Source organism: Homo sapiens, chromosome 1 (assembly GCF_000001405.40).
Source record: "Homo sapiens chromosome 1, GRCh38.p14 Primary Assembly".
Classification (NCBI taxonomy): domain Eukaryota; kingdom Metazoa; phylum Chordata; class Mammalia; order Primates; family Hominidae; genus Homo; species Homo sapiens.
The window spans coordinates 147,659,778-147,671,423 of NC_000001.11; the positions used below are offsets into that span (position 1 = coordinate 147,659,778).

An 11,646-nucleotide genomic window follows, 5' to 3' on the forward strand; every position below is an offset into this window, starting at 1 on the left:
GTTAGTACAAAAAAAACACACCACATTGTTTAAAAATGGTTCTTGAAATGTATAGCATTAACATCTCAAGCACTCAGAACACATGGCTGGAATCACTGACACTAGGCCTGCAACCTTCCTATGGGATGGAAGGAAAGAAATGTTAGCTAAAATTAAGGGAAGAAAAGATGGTGATTTATTATTCCAGGTGTCCTTAGCCTATGTCCTGTTATTGCTACACTAGTAATGACTGCTAAGGGGCTGCTCTGGCACTTAGCCCACACTGAAGTAAAGGGGAGAAGTGACCAGAATGCCTGGCATGCGGATACGTGGTGAATGAACGAATAGATGGATGAAAGAAATAAGATGTCAGTGACCATATGTAAGAATTTATAAGGAATTAATCTGGAGGTTTATATGCCCTATCCCAGCTTAAGGATTCTACTTAATGTCCCTTGTAACTAATATACTTTTTTCCTCCTTTCATGCAATTCGTGAAACAAGCAGCTGCCATCTCAGAAGATGTTGCTTTTTCATCATCTTCCATTATTCCTTGCAATCTGGCTCCTGCCCCAACTGTGCTGTAATGATTTCAAAACATCACTAGTGGCCACAGGTCTCATAGCTCCAACTGTTCATAAAACTCTGACACTCATTGAGTCAGATGTGAATACTTCAATTTTAAAAACAAGTCTAATCCCATAGACCAGTTCCCCTTCCCAATCTACTATGTCCCTCTCAATGTTACCACAGTTCTCCTAGGCCCCAAACCTCAAACCTTTGGCTCCCTGTGGATCCACTATCCCCACACCAAGCCCTGTTGATCACTGCCTAGAAGAAAAGTCCCTCCCAATGGTCCTTCCATTATCTTATTGTAGAATGTAAACCTTATTAGTGCCTGTGACAAACTCCTCCCTTTCACCTGCACAATCCATCTATCCATAGCCAACTAATTAATCTTTTTGGAAAAAATATTTTTATTGCATTTAAATATTTTGTTTTATTTTTAATTGACAAATAATTGTATATTGTATATATTTATGGAGTACAATGTGATGTTTTCATATATATTTACATTTGATATATGATTAACTAATGTAAACAAAATCCATCAGCTCACATACTTTCATTTTTACGTGATGAAAATATGTAAAGTTAACCTTTTAGTAACATAGGCATACATCATTTTATTGCTCTTTACAGAGATTGCATTTTTCACAAATTGAAGGTTTGGAGAACTCTGCATTGAGCAAGTCTATCAGTGCCATTTTTCCAACAGCATGTGCTCATTCATGTCTCTGTGTAAAATCTGGTAATTCTCATAATATTCCAAACTTTTTCATTACTATTAAATCTGTCAAGGTGATCTATGATTTATGATTTGTTTTTCTTTTTGAAATGGGGTCTGGCTCTGTTGCCCAGGCTGGAGTACAGTGGCATGATCTTGGCTCACTGAAACGTCTGCCTCCTGGAGTGCAGTGGCATTACCTTGGCTCATCCTCTCACCTCAGCCTCCCGAGCAGCTGGGACTACAGGCATATACCATCATGCCCAGCTAATTTTTTTTTTTTGAGAGACAGGGTTTTGCCATGTTTCCCAGGCTGATCCTGAACTCTGTGATCTTTGATGTTACTATTTTAACTATTTGGGAGCGCCACAAACCGCCCCCATATAAGATGCCAAACTTAATCAATAAATGTTGTGTGTTTTCTGAGTGCTCTGCTGACTGGTATTTCCCCCATCTCTCTCCCTCTCCTTGAGCCTCCTTATTTCCTGAGACACAACAATATTAAAATTAGTCCAGTTAATAACCCTACAATGGCCTCTAAGTGTTAAGTGAAAGGAAAAGTTTCAAGTTTCTCACTTTAAATCCAAAGCTAGAAATGATTAAGCTTAGTAAGGAAGGCATGTAGAAAGCTAAGATAAGCCAAAACCTATGCCTCTTGCACCAAACAGCCAAGTTATGAATGCAAAGGAAAAGTTCTTGGAGGAAATTAAAAGTACTACTCTGGTGAACACACAAACAATGAGAAAGTGAAACAACCTTATTGATAACATGGAGATATTCAATGCAGAAGAAACAGCCTATATAGGAAGAAGATCCCAGCTAAGACTTTCATAGCTAGAGAGAAAGTCAATGCCTGGCTTCAAAGCTTCAAAGGACAGGCTGATTCTCATTAGGGATTAATGCAGCTGGTTTCCTTAAGGTGAAGCCAAGGCTCATTTACTATTCTGCAAATCCTACAGCCCTTAAGAATTATGCTAAATGTACTCTGACTGTGCTGTATAAATGGAACAACAAAGCCTGCATGGCAGGACATCTGTTTACAGCATGGTCTACTTAATATTTTAAGCCCACTGTTGAGACCTACTGCTCAAAAGAAAAAATTGATTCCTTTCCAAATATTACTGCTCATTGACAATGCACCTAGTCACCCAAAGGCGCTAATGGAGATGTACAAAATTAATATTGTTTTTGTGCCTGCTAACACAATGTCCTTTCTGCAGCCCATGGCCCAAGGAGTAATTTTGACTTTCAAGTCTTTATTATTTAAGAAATACATTTTGTAAGGCTATTGTTGCCCTAGATAGTGATTCCTCTGATGAATCTGGGCAAAGTAAATTGAAAACCTTATGGAAAGAATTCACCATTCTAGATGTCATTAAGAACATTTATAAGGAGGAGGTCAAAATAGCAACATTAAGCGAAGTTTGGAAGATTTGACTCCAACCCTCATGGATGACTTTGAAGATTCAGGCTTCCGTGGAAGAAGTAACTGCAGATGTGATGGAAATAGCAAGAGAACTAGAATTAGATGTGGAACCTTAAGTTCTGACTGAATTGCTGCAATCTCATGATAAAACTTGAATGCATGAGAAGTTACTACAAAGAAGTGGTTCCTTGAGAGGGAATCTAGTCCTGGTGAAGATAGTGTGAACACTGTTGAAATTACAACAATGGATTTATTACATAAACTTAATTGATAAAGCAGTGGCAGAGTTTGAGAAGATTGACTCCAATTTCAAAAGATGTTCTATTGTGGGTAAAATGCTATTAAACTGTGTCATAAGCTACAGAGAAATCTTTCATGAAAGGAAGAGTCTATCAATGTGGCAAACTTTACTGTTGTCTTATTTTTAGAAATTGCCACAGCCACCCCAACCTTTAGCAACTACTACCCTGATCAGTCAGCAGCCATCAACATCAAGGCAAGACCCTCCACTGGCAAAAAGATCATGACTCACTGAAGGCTCAGGTAATCACTAGCACTTTTTAGGAATAAAACATTTTTAAATTAAGGTATGTACATTTTTAGACATGCTATTGCATGATAGGATACAGAAGAGTGTAAACACAACTTTTATATGCACTGGGAAACAAAAAACAACTGTGGGTCTCACTTTATTGCGATATTTGCTTTATTGTGGTGGTCTAGACCTGAATCTGCAATATCTTCAAGGTATGCTTGTCTGTGTAGAATCTAAAGAAGTCAAAGTCACAGAATTAGAGAGTAGAGTGATGGTTATCAGAGGTGGGGGGGTGCAGTAAATGGGGAAAGAGAGATTTTTATCAATGGGTACAAAATTTCAGTTACACAGGAAGAATAAGCTTTAGTGATCTATTGTACAGGATGGTGACTACAATAAATAATAATGCATTGTATGTTTCAAAATCACCTAATTAATCTTGCTAAGCCAGTGTCATCATATCAGTAACTTTTTCCTAATGTCTCAGAGGAAAGCATCTGTCCTTCAAGAACTTCTACATCGTGGCTGAGTGCAGTGGCTCATACCTGTAATCCTAGCACTTTGGGAGGCTGAGGTGGGAGCATCACTTGAGGCCAGGAGTTCAAGATCAGCCTGGGCAACACAGCAAGACCCCATCTCTTAAAAAAATTTTAAAAAAGGACTTCTACCCCCTTTGTCCAGCCCCTGTACTCAGCTTCACTGCCTCTTTCCTCCCCTCCAACCTAGAACCTGCCCACTGTTTCTGCATCTTCTTCCAGCTTGCTTCTCTTGCTTGGAGGGACTCCTGTTCCTATCTGCCCATCACCTTGTCTTCAATGTTCAAGGATAGCTCAAGTCTTACTTCCCTATCACTGACCACTCTGGCTTTTGATGGTTATCTTTTAAATCTGAATTCCTATAACATTGATAACAAAAAAAATTTAACTCAATTTCCTACTACTTTGTTTAGTTTTAAAACTAACATTTGGAAACCTACTATGTCACATATCGTCATATTTATCTTCTACCCTCCCCGAACTATCCCAGGAGAATGGTACTGGGAGCCTCAGATTCTCTTGGCATCTAGGGAGCCCTCCATTCTTCCCAAAGGCATGTGTCAGTCCCACTGGCACCTGGTCTCCAACACCTGAACCTCCTTCTGACACATCAGAGGACCAGGTGTTCACAGAGAGGCCTTCTTCCTTCTTTCACAGTTAATCACTGCTCCCTCTTTCTGACCCTCTAACCCCTCTGGATAAAAAAAACCCTTCGAGGGTTCATGGCTCATGTGGCCCCACCTCCTCTCTAGCAGCCCCCTTACCACTTCTTCCCTATTCTACATACTTACTCACTAGCCACGCAACTTCCTTTCCTTTCTCATATTTCATGGCCTTTCAGTATCATGTTTCTTATGCCTGGAATTTTCTCTCCTCATTCATTTAGAAAGACTTTTGTTCATTCCTTAAGACTTAGCTTAAGTGTTCCCAGAAACCTTGGTCATGGCCTTATGCTTTCACAGTAGCTTCAGTGGCTCTCTTTAGTAGCCTTTACCAAAGTGTATTAAACGAGCTCCTTTACTGGTCTGTCCTGGCTTCCTGAGAACAGAGACTCGGTCATCTATTGACTTCTGTTTCCCAGCAAAGGGCCTCACACACAGTAGGTACAATTAATAGCTCCAACAATTTGCCAGCTCCTGTGGAAGATACCCATCTTGAGAAAACTTGACCCTGCCTTTCCTGGGTGTTCAAGTTAGTAAAGAAAAAAGGCCAGCTGTGAATGTAAATGACAGCAATACCATAATAGAAGCTGACATGTGCTGCAAGAAACCATATGAAGGCCATAGCAGTTCAAAGGCAAGACAGACCTTCTCTTCTGGCTGGGGATTCAGGAGAAGTTTCATTGAGGGAATAGCATTTTAAATGAATAGTATTTAGACAAGCAAATACCTGTACTTATAAAGGGTGACATTCAGAATTCCAAAAATAACTAGAAAGCTTGCGCAAAGCAGAGATGGTAAAGAATGTGTATGGCAAAGAAGTGGTTTGGTTTGCCTCAACCTGGGAATGGTTTTCCAATTTTTAAATCAGAAAATACCACATAAAGTTTAACTTTAGATTTGTATGTATAAAGGCAAAAACTCGAATTTCTCTAGTTGAAGTAGGAGGGAATCCCACAGCCCCAGCCGCTCAACATCCTCTTAGCCCACAGGCTCCACAGAATAAATCTGAAACCTGGCAGCATACATCACAATTGGAATGGGAAGACTAGATGCAGAAAAGCCCATTTTGAGATGTTAGCAATAGTCCACATGAGAGCCTAAGGCCTCATCTAAGCCAGTTAACAATAGAGGAGGTAGATGTAAGACATTTGAGTTAGACTTGGCAAGTGAGTAAATAAAAGCTTTATGTGGGGACTGTGTTGGTAGGTAAACACAGAAGAACAAAAAAGAGACTACTTTGATTTTTGAGCCTTGTAATGGAGATATTCCTTGACTAAAACTAAGACCAAGACAGAAAAACAGGTGGAAAGCTGATTTCAGTTTTGGACATTTGGAGACACCTCCTTTGTGTTCCCAGTGCTCCCAGCATATTGCCTTAATTGATATCTGTTGTCTCTGCTTTATCACATTGAAACTCCTTTAAAGGCAAGACTGAATTATCCATCCTTGTAGTTCCAGTGTCCACCACAGGGCCTGACACAAAGCTCCACAGGGCCATTCAGCCTCACTAAGAAATCTGTTAGGCACATTCACCAAGAGAGGACCCTTGGCGTCTCCTAGGAGTCTGGAGTCCAGGTCACGTCAAGTCTAAAGTACAGTTTTCAGATTTTCAAGAATGGATGATACATCAGTTTCATATAATAGTGTCCACCCCACATACACACTCTCATTCTCATTCCTGCTCTTAAGCTTCCCAGTTAGTGGCAAAGACTAACTTGATAATTTTACTTATTTTGTGTATACCCCTCTTCAAGGGGTAATAAAGTAGATATAGCAAAAATTAAAATATAGTAAGACAACCAATTCAAAGTAGGCAAGAAAGACAAAAGCAAACAAATGTAGGGACAAAGAAATGGATGCAGTAACACGGTTACTAAAATATGTACACCATGAAGATCTGTTTACTTACTATAGGTGGGCCACAGACTTGGCACCCAGCTTCCTGACTTTTACATAAAGAAACAAACTTGATCAGCTAGACTAGTTTAAAGAAAAAAGCAAGCCAATTGTTCAGGAGAAGCACACCATTCCTAATGCTAACAGACAAATTCCTCCCAAGGGTCCTCATAAAGAGGATAGAGTAATATAATGAACATCTTTTCAGCAGTCACAGCAATGAGTTCTGTGGGATTGTTTCTCCTAGTTCTCTCAACACAGAAAGATAACCTCTTACCAAAGCACATTTCAGCGAAGGCAATTCTGTACTGGGATTGATATACTACATTCCAGGTAAAAGAACAAATCTACATAAAAGTAAACAAAAACCTCCCAGGTGTAGATTTTAAAATAAAGCAATCATATTAAACCTTGTCTGTATACTGGTATTACCAGGACATTTTTTAAAAGTTACTGATGCCTGAGTCCCAACCTGGGATAACCGCATTTGGATTATCCCCCAAAAAAGTGGGGCCTCCACTTTTTTAATGCTCTTCAGTCCAGATAATTCTCAAGCTTCACCAGAGAGTCTTTTACATTATCTGGATACCCCGGACCAATTAAATTAGAATCCTTCGGAGGGAGACCCTGGCATGTGTATTTTTTAAAGCTTTCCAGTTGACTCCAATGTTCACCACGGTTAAGAACCATCGATCCTGAAGAATGGGTGGACCTCATGTAATGCTTCTTGAATACCGCTTCTTTTAGCTGAGTTTTGGAAAGGTACTAAGCAATAAAAGATTCTTACATTATGCTTCCCAGCTCATCTATATTGTCAAATAAATAGGGACCCAAATGTCTTAATCAACAGTGAAGCTGGGGTAGGTTGGACTTTATTTTATAAAAACTGAGGAATCTCCCTGGGTGGAGGCCATCTTGACACCCAGGGGAGTTGAGGGAAGCCTGGAAGCAGTGCCAAATCTTTTCTTTTGATAGTGCATTTGGATCTGCTCTAATGATCAGGAAAAAAAATGGCCAATCAAGTTCTATATTTTTATTTCCAAAGCACAATCTTTTAGCAAAACAGGTTAAACCAACAGCCATTCAAGCCATAAGAAAACAACCCAATAAAACACTAGTTTTTTGTTTTTGTTTTTGAGATGGAGTCTTGCTCTATCACCCAGGGTAGAGTGCAGTGACCCAATCTTGGCTCACTGCAACCTCCGCCTCCCGGGTTCAAGCAATTCTCCTGCCTCAGCCTCCCGAGTAGCTGGGATTACAGGCGCCCACCACCACACCGGGCTAATTTTTGTATTTTTAGTAGAGATGGGGTTTCACCATTTTGGCCGGGCTGATCTCGAACTCCTGACCTCTTGATCCACCTGCCTCAGCCTCCCAAAGTGCTGGGATTACAGGCATGAGCCACCACACCCAGCCAAAACATCTAGTTTTAAATCATGCTACTTTCTGAGAATTTGTGAGATGGCTGAATGAAGTGACTTGTCACATATATTAATCTATAAACCAGTCAGAAATCAGGAAACATGTACCAAAGACAAAAAATTTTTGCCAGGCAGTCCCTTCTGACTATAATTAATAGCAGAACCAAGAAGATTAAAAAATCCCAATAACGGCCGGGTGCTGGCTCACGCCTGTAATCCCAGCACTTTGGGAGACTTGAAGCAGGCGGATCATGAGATCAAGATATCGAGACCATCCTGGCCAACATGATGAAACCTCGTCTCTAGTAAAAATACAAAAATTAGTCGGGCCTGGTGGTGTGCACCTATAGTCTCAGCTACTCGGGAGGCTGAGGCAAGAGAATTGCTTAAACCCGAGAGGCGGAGGTTGCGGTGAGCCGAGATCGCGTCACTGCACTCCAGCCTTGCAACAGAACAAGATTCTGTCTCAAAAAAAAAAATCCCAATAACAACCTCTATCAAATTGGATCTTGAAATGAACACTGGACAGAGACTATCCAGAAACAAGTTTTAAGAGGCTAATATTTGCTCATAGCCTAAATTGAAAGAGAGTTGGTTCACCCCTGATTTTCATGCACACAACTTTATACTAGAGAGCCGAAGACGTTTAAAGCATCTGTCTAAAGTCTGGAGAATATGAGCAGAAAGGAGAGGTAATATGCCTTCTCTAATTGCAAAGTCAGGCCATGGATTCAGATGCTATTTTGTGGCTACACAGATTGAAGATGAATGAAGCTGGTATCCTAAGCTACAACGGACCTTTCAACCATAAAGGCAGAAGATATCCATCACACACCCACTCTCCCTTAGGGATAAAGCCCTAAAAGAATCTAAATCTTTTCCTAGTGCCTTCAGGATATATATATATATATATATGGTACATACTAGGTCTAGGCCTACACATTCAAAGTTTTACTCTCCATTACCACTGATAATTTTTTGTCTTCTACGTGAATATAATATATATTCCTACATGTGATTCCCCAGTCCTTCTGTACCAAGAATAAATAGAGAAGAATTGGGGGAAGGGGAGCATCAGAGATGGGCTGTATACAAAATCATAAGGAAAATTTAGTGATCTAATATAAAAAGGCAAAGTAAGAGACTGAAAAAAAAATCAAAGAATCAAAATGAAAGAAGAAATCCCGGTTCCAGAGAGCAAGTGGTAAAGCCAGAGTAAGGCTAACTAGAAACCTGGTAATAGAATTAAGTGCCTTCCAAATGTATTTATTTATGTGGAAAATGCTTTAGAAGTTTAATTTCATGTGCGGCCAACCTTGAAAAATGGGTTTCCAGTTGTACAATGTAAAGACACAATCCTGAAGGTTTCTAGAAAGCAACTGTTATTATGAAGAGTATACCTAACATCAATTTTGGACAATCTTTTCGACCTCCTCCAACATCAACCTGGAAGACCAACGATACAAAAGCACTCCACAGGTGTAATACCTGGGAGTTTGGGGATTTCAGGTTGCCTGTTCCTCTTCACTAGGCCTTTCTGCTATAAAAAGTCACATCCAGGAAAGATAATCATTTTTTTTTAAACTATTTGTGCTTTAGTCATAATTATCCTGACAAAACCAGACAGATTTTTAAAACATTACTGCCACAGACTAGCCCATTTTAAATTTGTTCCGACCTCAGATCCCTCCCACTATAGGTTTAGTAACCTTAAATAGAAAAGGAGAACCCTAGAATACAACACTTGTTACAAAAAAAAACTTCAGGAGATCTCAAATGGCCTCCAGCAAACCCTGAGAAAAAGCAGTTATAAAGTTTGTTTCCAAAGGCAACGACCTCTTATCCACTGTAATCTCAGTTAAGAGTGGTTCCTATCACTAAAGTCCCTTCAGCCCTTCAGCTCTGACAAACCACCTTCAAAATGGTCACACAGAAGTGCACTGCACCCTTGTATTCAAGTTCACCTAGACCCTTAATAGAAATGCTGACCTGGGGCACTACTCCACACCTGCTGAATCAGAATCTGCAACGTAGCAGGATCCCCAGGCGACTCCCATGCGTCTTAAGCAGCGCTTACTGATGGCTGCGCCATCAGGGCAAAACTGGAAGTTCCGGGGCTGTCCTAACCCCAGCAGGTCCTTTGCTCAAGAGCCTGGGGAGTCACTGGCTACTGCTGTTTTCCCTTCTTCTGGACCCAACCCGAGCCCCGCTCCGCGCGAGTAAAGCTCTGAAGATGTGTGTCAGGGCGAGACTCCTGGCCTGGCACACGGTCCTCGCCCCACCAGCCCCAGCCCGGGCCGACCTCTCACCTGCTCCTCCAGCGGGAGCGGCTTGAGAGGACTCCGAGCCCCGTGTCGAAACACGACCTGCACCATTTTCAACTTCAGCAGGCTGCGGTCGACCGGACACTGGCCATCGGCCTCCTGCAGCTCGGCCAGGGCCACCCGCCGCTGGTGCAGGCAGTACGCCAGCGAGGTCAGGACGCCCACTGGGGTCCACAAGCGCATGCTGAACACACCAGTGATCATGGTGGTAGGCCCTCGCTGCCCTCCGGGTTGAGGCTGCAGGAGGCAAACACAAGTCTTCTGCGGGCGCCGGGGCTCAGCGGGCGCCCCCAAGTCCGCGGGAACCTGCGGATGCGTACATCCAGCCCTTCAGCAAGCAGGGACCGCTGTGCCTCCCGGCCCTGAGGGAGACCCCGAGTGGGAACGGGGGAGAGAACAAGAGGTGGCAGCAGCGAAGAGTCCCTGGGAGTTTTAACCCGGGTCGGGGTTGGTCGCTCCTGCTGCACACCGGGCCGGGGGAGATCGGATCCTTATCTTTTGCCCGACGAGGAACATTAAACTTGTATTTCAAGTTTGGCCTCCAGCACTCTTGAAGGAACAGGAGCCGGCCCTGAGTTCCCTGGCGGCAGCGGCTCCACCAGCAAGGACTACTCGATTCCACTTTTCTATAAGCAAGCTCCTACCCACCTCCTCACCTACTCAGGGACCCGTCCCAAGTGGACCCGCGCACAGGAGCACGGGAAAACGAGTCCTGTGGTGACACCTCGCCTGGAGACTCAGAGCTGCGGAAACTACAACTCCCACAAGGCTGCGCGTACCGCGGCTCCCAAGAAGTGGCTTGTACCCGCCCCCCTCGCCTGCGGGCCTCGCCCCTCCGGCCCAGCCAGCCGTTTTCCAGGCGTGGATGGCCCACGGACGTGCCTGGTCCGGCAGTGGAGTGGTAGTGAATCTGTCGGGCCATGGAGTTTGCCAGGCAGGAGGATCGCGAGCGCAGGAGTAGAACTGGGTGGTGGAGGGGAGTAGTTTGAGTCTAGTTTTGAATGTAGAAGACTTCCTTCCAGTCCTGGAAGCCTGGTTGCTGCAGCGAGGAGCTGAGACACCTGCCGAGTGATTGCCATTTGCGAAACACAGCACTAGGTGCTTTATATTTAGTCATTTACTACTCCCTTCTCTGTTTTTAAAAAAATTCTCAAGCTTAAGTCATTGTAATCATGTAGAACTTTCAGGTCACTGATGTGTTTACTTCCATCCAGAATACTTCTTGTGGAAAAAGCCAGGCCTTGCCTGTGGGTGTCCCAGTGATTAAGAACCTAAGAGGCGCCATGGCTCACGCCTGTAATCCCAGCACTTTGGGAGGCCGAGGCGGGTAGATCATGAGGTCAGGAGATCGAGACCATCCTGGCTAACACGGTGAAACCACGTCTCTACTAAAAATACAAAAAAAAAAAAAAAAAAAAATTAGCCAGGCGTGGTGGCGGGCACCTGTAGTCCCAGCTACTCAGGAGGCTGAGGCAGGAGAATGGCGTGAACCCGGGAGGCGGAGCTTGCAGTGAGCCGAGATCGCGCCACACGACTCCAGCTTGGGCAACAGCGCAAGACTCCGTCTACAAAAAAAAAA

The 11,646-nt window shown here is 43.0% G+C and overlaps 1 protein-coding gene across 7 annotated transcripts in view, besides 5 other annotated features; it reads right to left on the reverse strand.

Annotated features, from left to right (window-relative positions):
* The window catches only part of ACP6 (acid phosphatase 6, lysophosphatidic), a 40,867-nt gene extending 30,120 nt beyond the window's left edge, over positions 1-10,747 (reverse strand). For 5 of the 7 annotated variants that reach the window (NR_136635.2, NR_136633.2, XM_011509601.4 and 2 more), the window contains exon 1: positions 10,053-10,747. Coding sequence is in view for 3 of the 7 variants with exons in the window: in XM_011509601.4 (XP_011507903.1) it covers positions 10,053-10,271 (219 nt within the window). In the remaining 4 variants the exon portion in view is untranslated. Of the gene's footprint in view, positions 1-9,732 lie in introns of all 7 variants that reach the window. The other 2 variants (NR_136636.2, NR_136634.2) reach the window with 1 other exon arrangement.
* Positions 9,595-10,538: an enhancer, noted in NCBI's record as "H3K27ac-H3K4me1 hESC enhancer chr1:147141494-147142437 (GRCh37/hg19 assembly coordinates)". NCBI's record gives its function as "activates a minimal SCP1, AML or CMV promoter by ChIP-STARR-seq in naive H9 embryonic stem cells {active_cell/tissue: H9 hESC(naive)}" and the evidence as "EXISTENCE:reporter gene assay evidence [ECO:0000049][PMID:30033119]".
* Positions 9,595-10,699: a biological region, named in NCBI's record as "H3K27ac-H3K4me1 hESC enhancer GRCh37_chr1:147141494-147142437".
* Positions 9,750-9,809: an enhancer, noted in NCBI's record as "active region_1633". NCBI's record gives its function as "activates an Ori minimal core promoter by ATAC-STARR-seq in GM12878 lymphoblastoid cells {active_cell/tissue: GM12878}" and the evidence as "EXISTENCE:reporter gene assay evidence [ECO:0000049][PMID:35858748]".
* Positions 10,450-10,699: an enhancer, noted in NCBI's record as "active region_1634". NCBI's record gives its function as "activates an Ori minimal core promoter by ATAC-STARR-seq in GM12878 lymphoblastoid cells {active_cell/tissue: GM12878}" and the evidence as "EXISTENCE:reporter gene assay evidence [ECO:0000049][PMID:35858748]".
* Positions 11,140-11,209: an enhancer, noted in NCBI's record as "active region_1635". NCBI's record gives its function as "activates an Ori minimal core promoter by ATAC-STARR-seq in GM12878 lymphoblastoid cells {active_cell/tissue: GM12878}" and the evidence as "EXISTENCE:reporter gene assay evidence [ECO:0000049][PMID:35858748]".